The sequence below is a fragment of the Homo sapiens genome, chromosome 9 (assembly GCF_000001405.40).
Source record: "Homo sapiens chromosome 9, GRCh38.p14 Primary Assembly".
NCBI classification, from domain to species: Eukaryota; Metazoa; Chordata; class Mammalia; order Primates; family Hominidae; genus Homo; species Homo sapiens.
Window position 1 is genome coordinate 126086699 of NC_000009.12, and position 24091 is coordinate 126110789.

The 24091-nt window shown below is 49.4% G+C and overlaps 1 annotated feature.

The window, feature by feature from the left end:
* Window positions 20469–21957: an enhancer, noted in NCBI's record as "VISTA enhancer hs987". NCBI's record gives its function as "enhancer in: forebrain[4/5]" and the evidence as "EXISTENCE:transgenic organism evidence [ECO:0001131][PMID:17130149]".

Sequence of the window (24091 nt, forward strand, 5' to 3'; positions counted from 1 at the left end):
TCCTCAAGCACAGCAGGCTGAGAGGATGGAGTCAGAGAGCCATTGGGAAGACTCTCCCTCCATCTCTCTTTGTATCTGGAGCTAAATGGCCTTTCAATTGAGTATCTCAGTGTGCTTCTATTTCATTCTCCTGTCTGCACTTGGGTTCTCCCTGCTCCCCCATGCCTGCGGACACACAGGGTCACCTTATGGACTCTGTGTTTTCCTGTCATCAGGACAAGCCTAGACTGATTTGTGCCCTTTGGTCCTGGGCACAAATTCCACATTCTTAAGCCTGAGAACATAAGTGGCCCAGGCTGAGTCAGATGTACATTTTTGGTCCAATCAGCAATGGATAGAGTCACACTGGAATAATAATATTGATGACAAGAACATGTGAAAGTTATGATGATGGTAATGATAACAGCCAACATTTACTAAGCTCTTAGAATGCACTATTTTAAGTGCTTTGCATGTTTAATTCCTCATCGTCATACAATGCTTGTATGATACAGGCACTACCCTTATCAGACTCACTCTATAGATGAGGCACAGAGAATTGAAGTAACATGCCCATGGTCACACAGCCAGTGTGTGGCTGAGCTGACTTAAAACCCAGTAGTTTGGTCCTAACATGCCTGTGCCTGACCACTGCACAATGCCGTCTCTTGAATGTGGCTACCACACCCATCTGTCTTAGTTTGTTTTCTGCTGCTATAAAAGAATACAACAGACTGGGAAATTTATAAAGAAAACAGATTTATTTGGCTCATGTTTCTAGAGGCCAGGAAGTCCAAGTTTGAGAGGCTGCATCTGGTGAGGGCTTTCTTGCTGTGTCATAACATGGCAGGAGGCATCACATAGTGAGAAAGTGCTTATGTGAGAGACAGAGAGAGATAGAGGGGGCTGAACTCCCATCATAACTAACCCACTCCCACAATAATGGCATTAATCCACTCATGAGGGCAGAGCCCCCATGGCCTAATCACGTCTTAAAGGCCCCACCTCTAATACTGTTACAATGGCAATTAAATTTCAACATGAGTTTTGGAGGGAACATTCAAAGCATAGAACCATCCCTAGAAGGAAAACTCTTAGACTATGAGCTGGGCAGACACTTCTAGAGTTGTTGCTATGTTCAGGGTCATAGAGAGTCTGATGCAAAGACCAAAGAGGCCTGGGTGGATGCCAGAAGCAGTCAGCCTCAGGCCTTGGCCAGAGGGGTTGGGAATATGACAAGCTGGGCAGGTGCTAGCCTAAGATCCCAGCAGGAGACCAGCGTGGCCAACTGGGGTGTCAATGAGCGTCAAGCCTGGAGGCTTCAAGTTGAAGCTCATGGTACACCCAGGAATGGGGCATGAGTTTCATGGAGCAGCCATGCATTCCTAACATTACCCCAGGCATGAAGGACTCTGGATCTGCCACTGGCCTGGGCTGTCACTGGCTTAGGCCTGTGTAGGGTGGAGCCCCAGGGGCATCTGTGAGAGCCTGGAACCAGCAGGGACTGAGACAAACAGGCAGCCCTGCTCCTGATCCATGCCACACCCTCCTGGGTATAGCCCCATTGTCCGTATCTCATCCCAAGTTACTGACATATCCCAGTTTGTGTGTCTTCACAAGTGTCTCCTCCATTCTTTGGGTGTCCAAGACCAAAGTGTATCTCTTGGCATATCCTGCTCATCCATGGGGAGGCTGGACACTCATGATGGGCTTTGGAGTCAGAAAGGCCTAGACTCAAATTCTGATTCTATCAAAATCAGCTAGGGAAACTTGGGCCAATTTCTTCTGAGCTCCTGCTTGCTCACGTATAAAGGGGGGAGTTGATACCCACTCTTCCACGAGAACACGAGCTCAGATAATGCCTGCCAAGTGCCTGCCACAGGGTAGATGCTCAGTAGGCGTCGTTAGTATTACTGGAATTAATCCTTTTGTCTAAAGCTTGAGTCATGCTCTCCCATTTTCAGAAACAGACCTCTTGGAGATTTCTCTGCTCTGTTTGGCTGGTAGCTTGTCCAAGGGCTGAAGTCTTCTGTGAGATGATGATCACGAGGCTATGGGAGGAGAAACTGGGGTCCCTTCTAGATGGGGGGGTCACTGGAGAAACAGGCCTGGTGGTCCACAGATGTGCGGCAGCCCATCCCTCCATGCTCTGTGAGGACCTGCTTCCCCAGCAGCCCTGCACCCAGACAGCCTCCTGGCCTGTGTACTGCTGTGCTACCCCTCCAATGCATATGTGTCCAGCACCCTGTGCCATCCCCTAGTGAAAAGTGGCTTGCAAGCCCGGGTCCCAGCAAAGTCCAGGACCTTTCTCCATGTTAGGCATCTGACCATGACCCACAGGGCCAGGAAGCCCTCAGCATTCATTGCCTAGGGTTGCCATGACAACTTACTACAAAGTTGGTGGCTTCAGACAGCAGAGAGTTGTCCTCTCACAGTTCTGGGGTCTACAAGTCTGAAATCAAGGTGTCAATGGGGCCACACTCCCTGAGAGACTGTGGATAGACCTTGGCCTCTTAGCTTCTTCTGGTGCTGGCTGTCAACCCTTGGAGTTCCTTGGCCTGCACTCTGCCTCTGTCATCACCTGGCCTTCTCCCTGTTTGTTTCTCTTTCTTTTGTTTATGATGACATAAACAAATTGGATGAAGGGCCCATGCTATTTCAGTGTGGCCTCATCTTAACTTGATTACCTCTGCAAAGACCGTATTTCCAAATAAAGTCACCTTCACAAGTACTGGATTTTAACACTTCAACAGGTCTTTTTGTTTCGTTTTGAGACAGTCTCACTCTGTCGCCCAGGCTGGGCTATAGTGCAATGGCATGATCTCGGCTCACTGCAACTTCTGCCTCCTGGGATCAAGCAATTCTTGTGCCTCAGCCTCCCAAGTAGCTGGTATTACAAGTGTGCATCATCATGCTTGGCTTATTTTTTCTATTTATCAGTAGAGATGGGGTTTCACTGTGTTGGCCAGGCTGGTCTCAAACTCCTGGCCCCAAGTGATCCACCTGCCTCAGCCTCCCAAAGTGCTGGGATTACAAGTGTGAGCCACTGCACCCAGCCCAACATGTCTTTTTGGGATACACAATTCAACACACAGCACCTTATAAGAGGGTCCCTGAGGCCCTGAGCATGCCCTGCTGGAGATGGAGGGAGGGACTTGGGAAGTACAGTACAAAGAAGCACTTTGGGAAGCAGGGGCTGGGTCCACATAGAGCCTGGGTTAGGAATGCCAGGGAGTAACCACCACCCCAAGAACCATCTCAGCACTGGGGCCTGCATCGCATCTCAGGAGTGCTGATCAGAACCATCAGCCCCAGGGCTGGGATGCAGCTGCCCCTGCTGGCTCAGAAAAGTCACCACAGAGGTGCGATGGCCTCACCAAAGACCTTGGCCCAAGTATTTCTGGTGTGTCTCTTGGGGTGATTTTTGGGTACAGTCACTCAAAGGTTGTTCCTAGGACTGGGGCCTTTTGGGTGGTAACTCACTCATTCATTCCTCAGATATTTACTAGAGATCCACCATGTGTCAGGAATTGCAACTGGCATAGAGGATGGCCTCATGGAGTAAGTCGTTAATTAAACAATCAGTCCTGGTAAATGCAATAACCACTATTTAAAAAAAAATGTCCAGGCAAGGTGCAGTGGTGCACGTCTGTAATCCCAGCACTTTGGGGGGCCAAGGTGGGAGGATTGCTTGAGCCCAGGAGTGCGAGACCAGCCTGGCCAGCAGAGAGAGAGTTTATCTCTACAAATAATAAGAAAATTAGCCAAGCATAGTGGTGTGCACCTGGGGTCCCAGCTAGCTACTCAGGAGGCTGAGGTGGGAGGATTGCTTGAGCCTGGGGGGTGGAGGATGCAGTGAGCCGTGATTGTGCCACTGCACTCCAGCCTGGGTGACAGAGTGAGACCCTGTTTCAAACAAAACAAAACAAGGAGCTTAAGTGTACGTAGTATCATAGGGAGGCTGGATTTTGATTGCAGGATCAGGGAATTTAGCAGGGATCTGAGAGATTAAGAGAGAACCAGGCTAATGGGCAAGGGAGGATTGGGCTGAGTATTCTGGGTTGGGGGGGACCAAGTGTGCTGAAGCCTGGAGGTGGGAGGGATCAGAGTTCATTTGAGGAAGAGAGGCTGTGTCTATTAATGGGGATCATCAGGCATCAGGCTGGGTGAGATGGGTCTGAGGGAGCCCTGAGGGTGTGGCCAGGGACCAGTCAGCAGGTCCCCCAGGTGATGGGGACTCTGGCTAGCTTTGGGCCAGTACCACTATCCAAGGAGGGAGGAAGCGCTGAGGCAGGGACTCAGCCCAGTTCCCTTCCTTTCCCTTCAGCAATGCCCACTGAGCCCCTCCTGGGGATCTGAGCTTCTGGCCTTACCAGGGAAGGAAAGGGTGCCTTTCCCAGTAGGAGGCTGCAGGGCTGGGCGGGGAAACTGAGGCAGAGACCTGGGATGTCAGTGGGACAGACACAGCAGGGAAGGGAAGGGTTCAGGACGTCCCCTTCCACCGATCAAAGTACCTCTGACCCTCGGGGTCCCCAGATCCACCTTCTACCCTATCCAGGGTTGGGTCAGAGCCTTGGCGGGGCTGAACTTGTAAAGTCCCTGAAGCTGACAGGGACCCTGGATCAGGGATGCACAGGGAGATTGAGAGGTGGGACTGCTGACCTGCTCTGGGAGTCTGAGCCATCACTGGGTCCCACAGGGGCTGGTGATCTCAATGCAGTAAAGGTGCTGAGGACTTGGGCCAGAGACCAGAATTAAGCTGGTGGGAAAATGCAGGCTGAAGGAGCCTGTGAGAGTGGGCAGAAGAATTGGAGGGACATGTTTGTGTTTGTGTGTGTGTGTGCGTGCGTGTGTGTGTGTGTGTGTGTCTGTGTAGCAAGAAGATTTGGGGCAGGGGTTTAATGATCACCTGAGCTCTGGGAGGCCCTGGACTCTGCTGGCTCTCAGGGCTGGGGGGATGCCCCTTCTCCCCGGGGAGAAGAGTGTGGCTTTTCACCACTAGTCCTGGAGGTAAGAAGGCGACTGAAGAAGGGAACAGTGGAGTCAGATGGTCTTCATTCTCCGCCACAGTGGAGTGCAGTAGCGTCACATCTGGATCCCACCTGGGTTCCTTAGCTTAGCAGCTGTGTATCCTGGGGCAAGTTCTCGGCCCTTTCTGACAGGTTTTCTCCTCTGGAAAGTGGGAAGAGTGCCATTTTGTTCCCAGGAGTTGCCATGCCTGGAACAGAGCCTGGAGGCTTCAGTAAATGGTGGGTGAGTGTGCAGGGGGTTTGGGCACTCCCGGGCATGTCTGAAGCATCAGGGTCTGTGTCAGTAGTCTCAAAGGCAAGGAGGACATTGTGAAGGGTGCAGGGTGAAGGGCAAGAATATGTCTGTCACCTCCTGGACCCATGGACTCACATCTGAGCCGTGGAGAGGTAGTGTCTGGGCAGGAGCTGAGGACAACTTTCATGGGGATGCTGGTGACTGGGGGCAGTGGCGGAGCTGCTGGGGGCCTAGAGAGAGCTGCCTTCTCCCCGGGCTGCACCCACCCAGCGACTTCAGCTCATTGAGGGCTGCAGACAACTCAGGAGTCCTTTGGTGCAAGGAGGGCTGGCAGCCTTGTTGGTATCGGAGGCAAGGGACACAGACTTCAAAAGGGGGGGACAGGAGAATGTTGCGGGTGGTCTCCATTCTAGGGGAATCCCAGAGCTACCAGGAGGAGGTCCTATGCTGGTGTGCTTTTGTGGGGGTGGAGGGAGCATGCCAGGAAAATGCGGGTCACGTCTGTGGAAACGACCCACAGGTGCCCACCACTGTGGAGGTCTGGGGGTCACAGGGTACAGGTATGCAGGTTAGGTGGAACCATGCCCTCCTGGTCACCAGTGCCCGAAGAAAAGATGCCAGGATGATGCCTGTGGCACATGTCCACAGAGCAGTGCTGGGGCTGGGTGAGGGGAGTGTGGCCCCTTGGACACAAAATATAAAGAGTTCCTTGCCATCAGCGTGTTGCAAGTACACGGTCAGCACCTGAGGGTGCCTCACACCCCTCACTTAGTCCCAACACTGACACATTTGCCTTGCCTGTCACTTGGGGACACTGAGTCTTGGACTGAACCTGTATGCAGAATCCACTGAGCTTATGTTTCCCAGCCAAGGGAGGAAGGGACACCATCATCCCTTCCTTTGTAGGTAAAAATGCCCTTCGTCCATTTCTCCATGATTAAGCAAAAATGGGAAATTTATCAGCTGGATTTCAGGAAAAGTCCAGGGGTAGATTTAGCTACAGGCACGGCTGTATCTAGGGGACTCAGATGATGTTTTTTTAAAAAATCATTTTATTTTTATTTAAAAAATGTTTTTTAGAGACAGGGTCTTGTTCTGTCACCAGGCTGGAGTGCAGTGGTGCAGTCATGGTTCACTGAAGCCTCGAATTCCTAGGTTCAAGCCATCCTCCTGCCTCAACCTCCGAATAGCCAGGGCCACAGGTGTGCACCACCACTCCTGGCTCATTTTGTTTTTTATAGAGATGGGGTCTTGCTATGTTACCCAAGCTGGTCTCAAACTCCCGGCCTCAAGTGATCCTCCTGCCTCGGCCTCCCAAAGTGCCAGTATTATAGGTATGAGCCACCGCACCCCACCAGATGATACTGGCTTTTGGACTGAAATCATAGAGCACAGTGGTTAAGCACTATGGGCCATGAAGCCGGACTACCAGGTTTCAAATCCTGGCTCTGGGCCCCACTGGCTGCAGAGGGAGAGTGAGGCTCTTTTTGTTTTGTTTTGCTTTGTTTTGTTTTGTTTTGTTTTAAGATGGAGTCTCACTCTGTCACCCAAGCTGGAGTGCAGTGGTGTAATCTTGGCTTACTGCAGCCTCCGCCTCCTGGGCTCAAGCGATTCTCGTGCCTCAGCCTCCCCAGTAGCTGGGACTACAGGCACGTGCCACCACACCCAGCTACTTTTTTGTATTTTAGTAGAGATGGGGTTTCTCCATGTTGCCCAGGATGGTCTTGAACTCCTGAGCTCAGGCGATCCGCCTGCCTCGGCCTCCCAAAGTGCTGGAATTACAGGAGTGAGCCACTGCGCCCAGCAGGGAGTGTGAGGTTATTGACCTGCAGATGCTTCAATTCATTCCTGTGTAAAATGGGGACAATGATACTACCCAGCTGTGGGGAGCTGTGAGGAGTCCTTGTGATGACGCCCGCCAGGCACGGCTCCCCTTGGCCCTCTGAGGATCCACTGAGTATAGGCGACCACTCCCTGGCCCCATTCTTGTGAGAACAGAAGCTTCCTTCTCATTGGCTCCAAGCCTAGGGGTGGGGCCTATCCTGTACGTCCAACTCAGACTTTGTTCTCATTGGCTCCAAGCACAAGGGGTGGGGCCTATGGTCAGATAATGTCACACGTACCCCCAGGCAGACCTGAGAGCACCTCAGCTTAGCACTGGCAAACTCGGCACTCAGGCGTCGCCTTCAGGATTTTTGATCATCCATGTACTCCTCACATGATTATTAGCACACATGACAAATGGACCTTATTTTTTTACAAATATTTATTTTAAAAGGAAAATTTACCTTCCGTGGGAGACACTATGATTGTGAAAGATTCCAGTTGTGGCTGCAGCACCCGCTGTGTGACGTTGGGGTCAGTACCAACCACTCTGAGCCTCAGTTTCCTTCTTTTTTCAGCAAGAATAATAATGATCTGACCCCACAGGGTTTCCAAAGATTAGGTGAAATTAAAATACGCAAAGCTCAGAACAACACCAGACCTGTTGTAAGTGCTGTACACGTCTTAGCTATGTTGTCATCATTATTGTTAGTAAGGGAGAAACCAGTGTTATTGCTGTAGGTGGAGGCAACTATAAAAATAAATACAATGAAAATGCACTGAGGTTAATAAATTCCATGTCTGCATCCTGCAGAGGGCTCCAAGCCCAGGACCTACAATCTTTGTTAACAAGGGTGATTTGGGAGGCCAAGGCAGGAGGATCACTTTAGGCCAGGAGTTCAAGACCAGCCCTTACAACACAGTGAAACTCCGTCTCTGCAAAAAATAAAATAAAAAAATTAGCTGGGCATGGTGGCGTGCACCTGTATTCCCAGCTACCTGGGAGGCTGAGGTGGGAAGATCACTTGAGCCTGGGAGTTCAAGGCTGCAGTGAGCTATGATTGTGCCACTGTACTCCTGACGAGATGACAGAGCTAGACCCTGTCTCAAAAAAAAGGGTGATTTGGGATGTTGATGAGGTGTTGGACAAGCCAGCACCAGAGACTGTCTTCTTTCTTCTTCACTTGAGCAGGTCTGCAGACAGTTAAGAGGAATACAACTTCCCCAGTAGTAACGCAATGGCATGTAGGCACCAGCAGCAGCCCGTGGCCTGCCCTCTGGGAGCAGCGGTCAAGGGTTGCAAGGAGGACAGGAAGACACTCTGACCTGTGTTAAGAGCTATTTGCCAACTATGTGACCCCAACAGGTTTCTCCACCTCTCTGAGACACAAGTTCCTCCTCTGAAAATGATGTCAACCAGGTGGCCCTGCTAAGGCTGCTGTGAGATGACAGCAGGGAGTCAAGGGCTTAACATAGTCCTGGGCATGCTCCAGGCTCTTGTGGCCTCCATAGTCAGTCAGGGAGGCTTTTAGGCCACATCTGGGGACAGGACTGCCGGAAAGCCGGGAAAGCTGGGAGGCAGTGGCCAAAGGTGATGTTTAAGGTGGGCTTTGCAGACACCAGTGTGGTTGGGCTTTTCTCCACGAGCCGCTCTGGGTTCACCCATGATTTTTCTGTTTTCAAAGGCTGAGAAATCCGGTGGAGGGGGCCAGGATGCCCCTGAACCTGGTCATGGGAGCCGTGGTGGCCTCTGCACACTGCTGTCATCCAGGGGCCAAGCGGGATCCAGAGGAAGCTGCCTAACAGGCAGCTGCAGTGGCAGAGGTGGCCTGTGTGCCACCACGCTCACTGAGCAGAGCAGTGAGATGTGACCGGGAGGAATGGGGGCCTGCCTGGGCCTCCCCACACGTGCCCATTGCCAATTTGCTGATGACCCCGCGCCAGGCTCTTCACCTCAATGCTCCAGAGTCCGCAAAGTGGGGTGAGGGGTGGGGGCCAGCACTATTACCTATGGACCTCAGAAGGTTCTAGAAGAAGCAGCTCAGGGCATGAGGGGGACCTGAGGTTCCAGGGTTGGTCTGCTGGGATTCGCGGTGTGACTTTGGGCAGGTCTCTCCGTGCCACTCTGGGTATCAGTTCACACCTCGGTTCCTGGGGCTTGGTCTGGGTGATCCCCACAACTTCAGCCTTTGACGGCTGGGATTCTGCGGGCTGCAGAGAGAGACCAGCTAATGTGGCAGAGGAAGACTGGGTTGGGGAGAATGCCTGTCTGTGAGGCGCCCCTAAGAAACTCCCTGCCATTTCAAGAGGGCCGTGGGGTGGGTAGGGAAGTGGGGACACAGAGGCTAAACAACTGGGCTTTGGAATCATTTGCACCTGGTGTGACTCCTGGCCCCATGTGTGCCCCCGTGTGACCCTGGACAAGTGCCTCCTCCTCCCAGAGCTCCAGTCTTCTCATCTGTAAAATGGGGGTGATGGTGGCATGTAGGACGCTGACACCTGACAGCATTGGGGATAAATTGCTGAGCACAGCATCAGGCTCACAGAGGGCTTAGTAAATTACAGGCAATACAAAGACTACTGCTGTGGATTCTTACTGTGTTTTGTGGTTGGTCTTCCTGCTTTGTGCAGATTCAGAACCAGGGGTGTGACAACATCCTACAAGGGTGGGAGGCCAGGGCAGGCCAGGGCTATGGGAGCAGAAGGGTTAAGTCTCCATGGAAACAGGCATGCATTATTTACGTGGCCTAATGAATAAAACATTTATGTGGTAGGCTAATAAATTCCCTCACACAAAGCAAAGTAAGCTATGATTTAAATATCGGCCTCCGCTGGCAGGCTGAGTTATGGAGCCTGCTCAGGGGAGACCCTCTTGGCTTTCTTTATACCTCCATCGGCTGGATGGAGTGGGAGGGCGAGAGAGGAGAGGAGGGAAGAAAGCGGGGAGGTGGAGACCCTTCCTAGTAAGCGGCTTTCTGGGCCCTCCTGACCTGAGGCCTGAGCCCCTTGTTGCCCCTGCTGTGACTCTGTCTCTCCCAGCCCAAAGCTGCTGCACCCCTAGGGGCCTTTTCCTAGAGCTGGAGCTGCAGAGGGAGGATTGGGTGACAGGTGGGACTGGCCCTTGGAGAGCAGAGATGGCCCAAGGTGGGGCACAGCCTTCTAGGATCTCCTGGGGGTGGCAACTTCTCTTAGGGAGACAGGCCACACCTCTGGGGCTTAAGGGGCTTAGACATGAGCACTGGGCAGTGGGAACATCCGTCAGGTTTGGGAGCTTGTCAGGTCCACTCTGGAGTAGTCTGGGATCAAACAGAGGGACAGCTGGGACTCGCCGTGGGGAGCTGAGATGGGGCGTCGGAGGAGGATGTGGGTGCAGAGCCTGGGAGAAGGTAAATCAGGTGTCTGGTGAAAATGAAGCAGCCCCACTTTGGCCTCACCCGCCTTTGTCATTGTCATCTCCCTGGCTTTATCTCATCACTTCTTCCCTTTTTGTTTCTGCCTGTCTGTCTCGCTGTCTTTTGTCTCTCCTTCATTTGCTCTGGTTCCCCCCTTCTTTCTCTGTATCTCTGTCTCCTCTGCCTCTCTCTCTGACTTTCTTCTTTTCTCTCCCTCTGTTTCTGTCTCTCTCTGTGTATCTCTTTTTCTCTGTGTCTCTTTCTTTGTGTCTTTGTTTCTTTATCTCTGTCTGCTTCTCTGTCTCTCTCTCTGTCTCTACACCTTTGTCTTGGTCGGGGTCTCTCTCTGTCTGCCTCTGTCTCTCTCAGAGGATTCTGACATGGCAGGAGGAGGGGTCCCACATTCCTGGACCAGGGTGTGAGGCCTCCACTGGGCCCTGGAAAAAGGGTGGTTGTGCAGGAGGAGGGGGCTGCCTCGGGGCCTAAAGGGTTGAGCATTTGTCTGAGAGGCACTGAGTGTTGCAATGGTGCTGGGGAAGTGGTTCAGGCATCATCCGTACCAAAACCAGGTGGGTAGCACTGGGTGCCCCTTAGCCAGAGGCCTTCTCTGTTCTGGTCCCCGGGAAAGCCTGAAAAGGGAGATGTAAACTTTGAACACGTTCCTCATGCTGGATCAGGTCCTCCTGGCAACCACCCCAGGAAACTGTCCAAGGCAGCTGTCCTGCCCCAGAGGCCATTAAATCACATGCTGGGCATAGTTCCTCCCTCAACACCCACTGGGGCTTCAGCTTCCCACTGCCATGAGGGCCTGGGGCTATAGCCCTTTGGGGACTGCCTCCTAGGGCAGCCGGCACCCGGCTGCATGGCTGGTGATGCGGCTGCCTCACTGTTCTGGTTATCTATGGCTATGTAACCAGTTACCCTAAACCAAAACGGCACAAAACAACACCATTGTATTATGTTCATGATTCTGTGGGTCAGGAGCTCAGGCAGGGCCCAGTGGACGTAGTCCCTCTCTGGTCCATTGTATCTGGGACCTCAGCTGGAGATGGCTGGAATGGCCTGACTAGGACCACCTGTCTGGGGTTGTGGGTCTTCTCTGTGTGGCATCAACAAGGGCTGGAGTGTCTGAGGTGGTTGCTTCACTCACATGTCTGGTGCCTGAATAGGCTGGGCAGACATCTCTGTGTCTCTGTTTGCAGCCTCTCCAGGGGGCTAGCTTGGGCTTCCTCAGAACATGGCGAACTCAGGGTATAGAGTTAGATTACCTGAATGATTCTGACTCCCCTGGAGCAAGGATTTCGTTAGGAATTGCTGGTCTTCTTAAAGCCTAGGTCTGGGACTGGCCAGGCATCACATCTGCCATATTCTTTTTTATTTATTTTATTTTATTTTATTATTTTATTTTATTTTGAGACAGAGTCTCGCTCTGTCGCCCAGGCTGGAGTGCAGTGGTGCGATCTCGCCTCACTGCAAGCTCCGCCTCCTGTGTTCATGCCATTCTCCTGCCTCAGCCTCCTGAGTAGCTGGGACTACAGGTGCCCGCCACCACGCCTGGCTAATTTTTTGTATTTTTAGTAGAGACGGGATTTCACCGTGTTAGCCAGGATGGTCTTGATTTCCTGACCTCGTGATCCACCCACCTCAACCTCCCAAAGTGCTGGGATTACAGGCGTGAGCCACCGCGCCCGGACACATCTGCCTTATTCTATTGGCCAAAGCTGTTTCAGACCAACCGAGATTCCAAGGGGGTGGAAGAATCGACCCCCACCTCTTGATGGGAGAATGGCATACATACATGTTCAGTGAGGGAGGACTCAGTGACAGCATTGGAGGCAAGGAACCACATCCAGCCAATGGTGTGGTACAAGGGAAAGCCTCTACCCTTCTTCCAGGCAGGGGTAAGGCATAAACTTGCAGGCCAGACACTTCAGGGCTCATGTTCCAGTCTGATTCTCACTAGCTATGTGGCCTCAGCAAATGATTCCACTACCAGTGCTCTGTTCTAACCTCTGTGAAATGGGGATCACAAGAGTGTCAGCCCCAGAGTATGTGGAGGGCTATGTGAGCTGGTGAGTATAATACCCCAAGCTATCTCCAATATTAGCTATTCTTCTTCTCTGGCTTTCTCCACCCCTAGAGGCCAACCAAGTCCTGTAATGACACACATGGTCTCTCTTGGGTCCTCTTACCCTTCCAAGTCCTGGTGTGTTGCATTCTCCTGCCTCTCTCAACTCCCAGGACTGTGCAATAACATCATCTGTGAAGCTTTTGAAGCATCAGGGATGTGGTTGCCACCATGTGGGAGGGGGCAGGCCATCCTCTCTGTCCTCACTGTAGATCCCAGGGCAGTGCCACCTTCTGGAACCTGCCATAGCACAGGATGCTGTGCCCTGGAGCAGTGCTTCATCCTGGAGGCAGTGGCCAGGCAGGCAGTGGAGGAGGCGTGATACAGATTCCTCCTGTGCACAGGGAGGCGAGGAGGCTGAAATTCCAGGAGAAATGCCTCCCACACAGTGGGGGCACCCCTGCGTGCTCACCTTTGAGGCAGGCAAGCCTAGTGGTCAGGTCTGTGGATGTTGGAACCAGCCTGCCCAGGTTCTGCTCCTGGCTCTGCCACTTCCTGGCTTTGCAGCCTTAGACAAATTTTTTCACCATTCTGCACCTCACTTCCTCTTCTGCAAGATGAGGTGTTAAGGATACCTACCTCTGGGGGCTACTGTGAGAATTAAATTAGTTAATGTTTGTAAAGTGCTAATAGAGTGCCTGATACACACTACACATGTGTTCTTTGTTAGCACTCTGGTGTGTATTTATGGTGTTGGCTGGGATCCTACAATGACAGGTGGGTGCTCAGTGACATTCTAACTGGGAATTTGTATTAACAGGGCCACATCTGTCCTTAGATTGATGGTATCTGAGATGTTTGGGGCCTCTTTTTTCTTTTTTGAGACAGAGTCTTGCTCTGTTGCCCAGGCTGGAGTGCAGTGGTGTGATCATGGCTTACTGCAACCTCCTCCTCCCAGGCTCAACCTAAATGTGTGACCATTGGTGACATAATCACAAAAAGAGCAACTATCCCAAGTGACTTTAAAATATAGGAATCTGGCTTTACATTACCAGTGGGGTATACATGAAAGGTAAAAGGAACTGTAAAAACAACCCTAAGCTAATTTCCATAATCACATTGTTGGTGAAGTGTTGGTCCTGTCATTCTAAGACTGTGGTGTGCACAGAGTGAAATAAAATAAGTGAGTAATTGTGTTAGTCTCATTGAGGACTAGGATCTTTTTTTGCATGTAAAAAAGGATATGCAGATATAAGTTCTATAAAGTTAAATAAAAACTCTGAATTTGAGTTGGAAGTAGTATAAATTCATAATGTATTTTACCTAAAAATGTTTAAAGAGAAGACACATTGCCTATCTCTGCCTACTGAAAAGCAGTAAAAACAGTGAAAAATCCAGTAGCACTGAGCACTCCCAGTACTCGGATTATGGTTTCTAAATACATTTTTTCCCCTAGAAACCAGGATTCCTTGGAGAAATGACTGATTTGAGATCTAAGGTAGGAAATGTACAAGGTAAGCCTGGAATGTCTTGTCTTTCTAGAAAGCAAAGATATATCAAAGACTTCCAAGATTGTAGATACAAAGACCCGGAAGCAAACTTGAAAAAGGGTCCATGGCTAATGATTGGAACACAAGGATAATAGCTGCAATGGATTAAAGCACATCAAATATGTTTAAATCCATGAGTTTACAATGATACTAAACTAAACCAAACCAAACCAATCCTCATAGGTCATCTTTGGAGGACGTTCGAGAGCCATTGGATTATTTTGAAAACAGGTAAATACAGAGAAAAAATAAGGTGCTCATGCTGCCATTAACATATGAACTTTACTTCAGGTTACCAATTAATTGATGATGGGAAATTTCTCTTTATAGATGTTATCCAGCTAATAAATGAGGAGGGAGATACAAATTAGAATATAACTATTTTGCAATCTCTAATGAAATAAAGAATCTAGGCAATGAGCTTCAAACATCCCTGAAAGAAAATAAAGGCGACTGGGCATGGTGGTTCATGCTTGTAATCCTAGCACTTTGGAAGGCCAAGACAGGAGGATCGCTTGATGCCAGGAGTTTGAGACCAGCCTGGGCACATAGTTTGAGACTAGCTGGGCATGGTGGTGTGTGCCTGTAGCCCCACCTACTCAGGAGGCTGAGGTGGGAGGATCACCTGAGCCTGGGAGGTCAAGGCTGTGGTGAGCCATGATCATGCCACCGCACTGCATCCTGGGTGACAGAGTGAGATCCTGTCTCAAAAAAATAAAAGACAAGAAAAGATAACCAGACATTATCTCTTGATGAAAGTGTGCAACAGCACTTATGGAGTAGTGCTGAAAAAATAATAACATAAAATCTGACCAAGACCCTAGATCAACTACCAACTTATAGGAAATATAGTGGATGGAGAAACATCCTAAAAAATATCGTGGGGATGCAATTGGCAGAGTCCAGACTAGTAGATATTCTACAGGACAAATGATCTGGTTTCTTCAATAAAACATTCAAAGAAAACAGAAGAGTGGAACAGAATATATAAAAGAGATCATACTTTTAATTGCATACGTCAATTGCAACTTTGCAGATGGACTTTATTTGGATTTTACTTTTTTGTTTTTGTTTTTGAGACAGGGTCTGGCTTTGCTATCCAGGATGGAGTGCAGTGGTACAATCACAGCTCACTGCAGCCTCGACCTCCTAGGCTCAAGCAATCCTCCCATTTCAGCCTCCCAAGTAGCTGGGACTACAGATGCACGCCACCACACCAAAATAATTTTTGTACAAATTATACAAAATAATACAAAATTATACAAAATACAAAATAAATTTTGTCTTTTTTATAGAGATGGGGTTTTACCATGTTGCCCAGGCTAGTCTTGAATTTCTGAGCTCAGACAATCCATCCGCCTTGGCCTCCCAAAGTGTCAGGATTACAGGCATGAGCCACTGTGGCTGGACTATTTGGATTTTAATTTAAAAAAACTGTAAGAAAAAATTACAGGACAATTTGGTGAATATAAACTTTAACTGGATTTTATGACAAGAAAGAATTATTATTAATTTTTTAGGTGTGATAATGGCATTTTGAGACTTTTAAAGAATTTTGTAGAGATACACCTGAAATAACAAATGAGTTGATGGGAAGTCTGATATTTGATTCAAAATTATCTAGGAATCAGGAGCGGAAGTTATAGTTAGAAATAAGATTGCTTGTGAATTGGGAATTGTTGAGGCTGGGTGATGGGTAGATGGGGCTGATTAAATTGCATTCTCTATTTTTGTATAATTTTGAACAGTAAAATTTTCTCTGATAAAAATAGAAATTTTAAGTTTTAAATAATGAACTAGAGTTAAAGTATAAAAAAAATTAAAAAACAGAACAAGTCAGTAACTCCTGCTTCCTGATATCACAACTTGACAGGGAATATTTGGGATGCGTAGGCTGCCCCCTCTGCCTTCCAATTTTCTAATGAAAGGACTTTATACATTTCCAAGGATCTTGATATTTATTTATTTATTTATTTATTTATTTATTTATTTATTTATTGACAGAGTCTTGCTCTGTCGCCTAGGCTGGAGTGCAGTGGCGTGATCTTGGCTCACTGCAATCTCTGCCTCCCAGATTCAAGTGATTCTCCTGCCTCACCCTCCCGAGTAGCTGGGATTACAGGTGCATGCCAACACACCTGGCTAATTTGTGTATTTTTAGTAGAGATGGGGTTTCGCCACGTTGGCCAGACTCCTGACCTCAAATGATCCACCTGCCTCAGCCTCCCAAAGTGCAGGGATTACAGGTGTGAGCCACCCGCCCGGCCATTCATTGTTTTCTTTACTGACCACCCACCTGTTCCAGGGTTCCACGTCTGTGTCCTGGGTTCCATGTCTTGGTCCAATGCCTCGTTTCCAGGCATCCTTGACTTTCTTCTCCTGGACCCCAGTACTCTCTTCAAAGTGGGTTTCCACTTTGAAACCCCTTCCACCTGCTCTCTCCTCTGGGGTCTCTCTCCCAGTACGGGCCATCTTACCTCCAGCTGTCTCTTTCTTAGTAGCTTTAGCTCCTAGACTGTTTTGACCTTGAAAGGTTTATTGGTTGGTCTTTGTGGAGTCCTGAAGGTTCCAGAATGCTCTGCATTCCTGTCATTGTCTGAGGTGGCACTCAGACTCATGCTGTCTCTGGACTCCCTGAGGGAGGAGCCTAGCAAACAGCCTCCCTCCCGTGTCCCTGCCCTTTCTCAGCCTGCTGTGACACTTCATCCAGGAAAGCTTCTCCGCCCATGTCAGCAAATTGTTTGACACAGGGCAAGGTGCTCTGAGGATCAGCAAGAGTGAGGCTGGGCCAAGAAGCCCCCAAACTCCAGCCCCTGTCTCCATGGCCCAGAGACTCATTCTGTGAGAGTTTCTCTGCAAAGATGGCTGCCAACAATTCCTCCCATCTCTGCATGCACATGCCTTCCTCCCTTCAACAGGTGGGGTCTTTTTCCCCGTATCCTTGAATCTGGGCTGCCTGACTTGATTTGACCAATGGAATGTGGCAGGAGGGATGTCTTGAGATTACTGAGCTCAGACCTGAAGGGACCTTGTAGCTTCCGCATCAGCTCAGAGAAAAACAAATTGACGTGTAAATCAGTCCAAGTCACCCTGCAGGAGGAGCGGCCACGTGGAGATAGAGGCCAGGAGAGTGAAAACTGAGGCTCCAGCCAACATCATAGGTAAAGGGACCCAGTTGTCCCAGGCAGCATACAGATATTTGAACCGTGCCAGCTGCGTCTGTGTGAGAGAGGCCAGCCTGGGCCCCTTAGGCCCCTGTCAAGCCACCCTAGTCAATACCACGTGGAACAGGGATGACCCATCCCCATGACCTACAGAATCATAAGAAATAGGATTGTTTTAAGCCACTAAGTTTTGGGGTTTTTGTGATGCAGCAATAGATTGTTGAGAGACATAGACTTTCTGCTATGTCTCTAGACTTCTCAGGGGTTAGGTTGTCCTAATGAGTTGAGGTCAGAGGTCATTTGGCCAGCCCCTGGGCCCTGGGGGACACAGAGAGAAACCAGGGTTTTCAGGAGACTGTGTAGCTAAGAAGGACATGAGCTGTGGTGACAGTCACACCCAGCTTCCTGGATCTGCCACTTACCAGCTGTGTGACCTAGGGCCTCACTGAGTTTCTTTCCACCTCGGAAAGTGGAGATAATAATTCTGTCTATCTTCTAGAGCTTCATTCTCCCACAATACTTTTTACAATGACGGAACTGTTCTATATCTGTGCTGTCAAATATAGCAGACACTGGCCACATGAGGCTATTGAGCGCTTGAAACGTGGTGGGTGGGAACTGAGAGGCTCTGTACGTGTAAAGGGAACACATGTATGAAAAAAAGTTAAATACCTGGTCAATACCTTTTTTTTTTTTTGAGATGGAGTCTCACTCTGTCACCCAGGCTGGAGTGCAGTGGCATGATCTTGGCTCACTGCAAAATCCGCCTCCCGGGTTCACGCCATTCTCCTGCCTCAGCCTCCCGAGTAGCTGGGACTACAGGTGCCTGCCACCATGCCTGGCTAATTTTTTGTATTTTTTAGTAGAGATGGGGTTTCACTGTGTTAGCCAGGATGGTCTCGATCTCCTGGCCTCGTGATCCACGCGCCTTGGCCTCCCAAAGTGCTGGGATTACAGGCGTGAGCCATCGCGCCCGGCCAATACCTGGTCAATACTTTTAATATTGAGTCCATATTGAAATGATATTTTTGTTTTATTGGGCTACATACAATATATTATTAAAAGCAATTTTACCTATTTTTACATTTTAAAAGCTATATATGTGGCCCACATTATATTTCTATTGGACAACATTGCTACAGTCTCGAAAAGATTAAATAATGAGTGTAAAGTGCCTAGCACAGCACCTGGCACACGAAAAGCCCTTGGTGAAGAGTGGCTGTTACTTTCGTAAATATTGTCCTGGGTAGGTGGTGGCCAGAGCTCAGATTTAGCAGGGTGGTGTCTGGGTTCCTGCTAGATGGGACAGAGGAAAGGAAATAACATTCCCTGAAGCCCTAACTATGTGTGGGTGACCATGAAGGGCTTTACTCAGGTTGGGCCACCAAGTCTTCACAATGGCCCATGGAGGAGCTATTTCTCTCCTCATTGGAAAGATGGGGAAACTGAGGCTCACAAAAGGGACATGACTTGCCCAAGCTCGTATAGCTGGTTTTGTAATGGAACAAGAGTTCTTGACTCTGGGGAAAGTGGTTCTGGCACAGTAGCTCTGTTTCCTCTGGAGGTCAAGTCCAGGCCCAGGACACCTCTCCACATCCTCCTCTTCCTTTTCCTCTTACCCTCCCCCTACCCAACTGCTCCATCTCCTCTCTGAAATCCATGGCCTCAGCCTGTCTCCTCTCTCCTTCCCCCGCTTCCAGCTGAGACTTCCAAAGGAACAAATTTATTTCTTTAAGTGTAAATGGACTCTCCCACAAAGATGCTGCTATGTCATTTCATACATTCTTTTTTAACTTCATCAAACAAAGTACAGTTCTCTGGCGCTAATGTCAATCTCCACAGCTCATTGGGTTTTTAAAAATAGTGGAGACACAGATTTCATCTCCCAGCCTCAGTGAGGAAGGCAGCACTCTAGCCAGCGAGAGGAACCCTTCGCTTCTCACCCCAGAAAGAGCCATAAAACACGCTCAGTGCCGGAGCACGCGCCCATTTGACAAAGACAATTTGATTTGTCTGTGGCTTCTAAAATATTCATCCCACTTTGATGGACTATCGTTTTATAAATATAGATTATCATTAACCGACACCAGCGGTGCGCTGCTGGTCGACCCAGCGCCACGCCACTGGTTCGGGATGAAGACGTCTAATAAAAAAAATCATTATCTCTGTCTGCGAACCTTGATCTGTATCGTCTGCCTCATTTGCAGTGCAAGGGTCAGTAACTCATGCTAACTGCATCTGTTTGTGCATTTCACGGCCTGGCCACCCCTGCTGGGGAGATTGGCAGAATGCTTCTCGAGTTCAGACCTGGGGTAAGAAATGGGGTGATTGAGGGAGGGGGAGAAAAGAAGGCTGAAGGGCTCTGCTGGGAACCCATTGAAAGGACTGGAAGAATGTATTTCCAGAGAGGCAGTGGAGTGCCGTGGGCATGGATGCACGTTTTGTTGTGTGTGTCAGACCCCGCTCCACTACTCACTGGCTATGAGACCTTAGGTAGGTGAGTTAAACTCTCTGTATCTCAGTTTTCTCATCTTTTATATGGGAATCATAATCATACCTATCTCCTACAAGACTGTGCCCATGAAGTGTTTAGCCCATGACCTGACAGTGAAGCACACAGTAAACATTAGTTGCAATGATGACGATGATGATGGTGATGGTGATGATGGTGATGGTGATGATGGTGATGATGGTGATGATGATGGTGATGATTGTGGTTTGCTTTAACCTTGAGCCGTTTAACAAACCGCTTGACTTCCGTGAACCTCCAGTTCTTCATGGGTAGAACATTCTCAATAATATCTACCTCCAATGGCTTTAAAGATCCAATGAGCTAATGCATTCGAAGAGCTTAGCACAATGAATGGTACACTCTAAGTGTCTGTGAGGGCCATTTTGTTTCATCTCGGTGGAAGCCAGACAGAGAAAGCAGTGAAGGAACTGTCCTGGAGAGCTATGGCCCCAGTGTCCTTACTCCTTGAGGACTCAGAGTGCAGAGCCGGTCGGTGACCCTGGGGACAAGGTGGCTCAGGGTGTCATGTTGAGATGAACTCAGCTCTGTTCTATAAGGGTCTGTTATTCCTCCATGTTACCCCCTCCTCCTAGCATCCTGGGTCTTAGTGGGACCTGAAAAAGACATGGAGGTGGGGCAGGTGGGTTTATTAGACACAGCCCCACATTCCCCAGTGTGCTATGCTGCCAGGGAATGAAACCCAACGTAGAATAAAAGACTTGCCTTGTGTTGGAGACAGAACCTTGTCTGCAGCATTTCCTCTGCTGTTTGAAAGAAATACATAACCAGATATTGGGGGAAAGGCAATTCCAGAGGAATCTACAATAGAAGGTGGCCTGAGGGAGAAGGAATATAACAGGGCAAGTGTGGAGTTGAGGGCAGACAGCAAACCTTTCTTCATCCTGAACAGGAGTGGAATGAGAGAGGGTGAAGTAAACTCTTGGACTCAAGCTCCAGCCATGGCCCTAGGTGAGGCGGGTGGCCTAGAACCTCCTGGAGGGGCATGGCATCGAGTCCTTTGCTGCTCCTGGAAGCAGGCAGGCATGCCATGTGTCGAGGCTTCATCCTGCTGGGGAGACAGCCTGGGGGCACTCGGCCCCAAAGTTTATTTAAGTGAAAAAACCCATCCGGAGACAAGAAGGAGTGTTACACTACTGTCAAGTTTTAGACGTCGCCATCAAGCAAAAAAAATTACATCCCGTCCTGACGAGCGACTAATCAAGGCATGGCAAACGGTCCTGCAATAAATTACTCCGGCGCGAAATAAACCACACAAACAGACCGATGATAATAAATGTAAATTATTTCTCTGAAGAAATTTTCTTGGTATATGAGTAATACGAACCATCAGGAAGGCGTCTTCCTTAACATTAATTACAGAAAATGACAAGTGAGCTGATGACTGGGAAGGCTCATTATCTGAGAACATATTCACAACTTTGCAATTTGCGCGAGATGTACTCCGGCTAAATTAATCTCCCTTCTTTGCATGAGCCTCTTCTAATTTTCATGTTATTAACAGGTTTGCAGTATCAGTCAGTGCTTGTCACTCTAATCAGGTTTCAGCATGTTCGCAAAAGCGAAGCGTCATTTATAAGGATAAGCCCTCATAATGGTGCTTGCTTTCATGTGGAGAATTCTACAAGGCTGCTTTTAATAAGGTACTTTAATCATCTCCTTTGCTCAACTTTTGGCCCCACTGTTCCTTTATGAAGAGTCATTAAAAGACTTTGAAGTTCATCAAGGAGGAAAAATTCATGACATTGTTCGGATGAGGTTGGGGATGGTTCCAAGGGGGAAGCCTGGAGGGAGTCCGGGTGAGAGGGCCCTGTTGGCTTGGGGCCTAACCATGGGTGAGGAGGGGCAACCTGTACCCATCGTCTCCACCATACAACACCCTGTAGGTTAATATGCCGGGGTCACTGCTGAACAAAGACCTCACTGGAGAGCAGTCCAATTGGCAGAGCATGTTCTAGGGTCAATGATAGACGATCCTTAGAGAAGGGGCCAGCCAGGTCAGCACTCAGGACAGCTCCCAGCACGCCACTATCACTGTGGAGTCTCGGAATCTTTTTGCGGGTTTTGGATCTATTCTGATGATCTGCGCTTGCTTTGGAAATCTCTCTGTCTCTCCCCCACCCCGCCCCGCCGCCCCTCTCTGTGTGTGTGTTCCCTCTCTCTGTTGCATGTCTCAAAGGGCTAGGCAGGGCTCATCCTAGAATCAAGGCTCAAGTCGATCCCCTTTGCCCCAATTCCCTCAACACTCTAGAGTTGGATATGTCCCTACAGGTTTCCATCAAAAGAGATGCACAATGTTAGTTTGCCTCCAACGATCCTCGGTGGCCTCTGACAAACATTCTGAATTCACTGTTGTCACAGAGAATCATTCTTGCTGCAGGTGGCTCTTCTATTACTGGGCAGAGTACTAGGCAGGGAGGCAAGGATCATCCTGTCACTTGGACAAGTCTCACCTCTCTTCTAGCGCTATCTGTATAACTTTGTAAGGTTGCTTCCAGCTTGGAGCTTTGTGATGGTGCTTCTGATATTTACGGAAGCCCCATCCTCCCTCCACCTACTGAATGGTGGAGAAGGGGGCCTTGTGTCCCAAGGTGACATCATTATCATCAGAGCTTACAAGGGAATAGGCTTCCTGTTCCTATGAGTGTTTTTCCTCCCTATAGGCATAGGCTGGTTATGGGGTGGCCTAGGCTCTGTCTTGGCTGGGCTAAGGTCAGAGCACTTCTGTGGATGAACCTTCTGCCCAAATTGCAGTGGCCACTCTTCTCTGGGACCTGCTCCTGAGCATATTGATGCGACTTGGTCCCGTCCCTGGCCATAGCTGATTTGACTGTATCTTAGCAAGTTGGAGTCTCCCTTTGAAATTTTGGAATTGGACTAAGGGAAGGTCAGATCATGTTGGGGGATACCTGGATCTATGACATGGACACTCAAAGGCATGAGTGGGGCATCCATCTTCTCCCATGGGACCTGGAGAAGCAGACAGGCTGCTGTGCAGGGTGGGAGGAGGAAGAACAGAGACACAAGGCAGAGAAAGCCTCGTCCCTGATTCCAGTTTCTTCTAGAAATCCTTGCATTCTATGTGTATCCCTAGATCTTAAAAATATATTTATTTTTCCCACTAAAGTTTACTTGGATGAGTTTCTGTTACTCTCAACCAAAAAGGCCTAACCACACAGCTTCCTTGCACATGGGTTGCAATAGTCTGAGCAGGTCCTCACATCTAGCACCAAGCAGGGTGGAGCTGGTGGCCTGTTTAGGGGGGCCTGGGACATCTCTGGGGCTGATGGCTATCCAAGCCCTCAGGCTAGAGTTGAGGAGAAAGACCTCACTGAGTCTGAGAGGTTGACCCTCACTGTGCAGGGGCTTGTCCTGGAAGAATATGAAATGCAGCTGATGAAGCTGGCTCTAGGGTCCAGGGAGTGGGAGGAAGGACCCTGCAGCAGCTGATGGGTTTAGTTTAGTGCCAGAAAACTAATCTTCAGAAACTTGGTTCTTTCCAGACTTCCTGCAACCTGTGTTTATTTCTTAGTCATTGTGTCTCTAAATCTCTTTAGAGACACCAGCCTGGCTCAGTTCTGTTGCGGTGACTAAGGGAGAGGTGAAACCTCACAGGACCAGGGCATTGAAGGAGAGACAGTGCCCACCATGGTGGTAATGGACCTAGAGAAGGGACTATGAGAACACAGCCAGGCCATTTGATCCAGCACCCCTCCCAGCTAGGAGAGTCCTGCTGGTTCATCCCCATCTATGCCTGGGAGGGCTCTGTGCTTTAATGAATTCCCCTTACCCAACTTACTCAACAGATCCAAGGCCATTACGGTTCATTTAAACAGCAGAATGAGGTGTCTGGGTTCAACTTAGTAAGTAATGATAGGTCTCCTCCAAGGTTGAATGGCAAAACTGCATTTCACTGTAATTCGTCCATCTGTACTCTCTTCAGAGTGGCAACTGTACTTTCATATCTGGTGACTATGGTGGAGAAAGGAACCCCAGGAACACAGCTTGAGCCCATGCTGCAGATGGAGCCAGGGCAGCTCCTTCTGCAGAATGGGCTCACGAGGAGTAGAGCAGAGAGTCTTTCCTGTTTATCTGCCCAGACCCTTGGCAGTTGGGCTTGCCAAGTACTCCCCTGGGGATCTTCCTCTCTGAACTCTGAACCCTGGCCTGAATAGGACAGGGGTCCCCAGAAGGGGGTCTAGAGAAAGAACCAGGAGCAGTGTGGGATTTGGGGATAGAGGAGCGGCAGGCCTGAACCCCAGGGTGGGCTGAGACATTGCCCCTCTTCACCTGACACTCCAGACCTGATTAGGACTTAC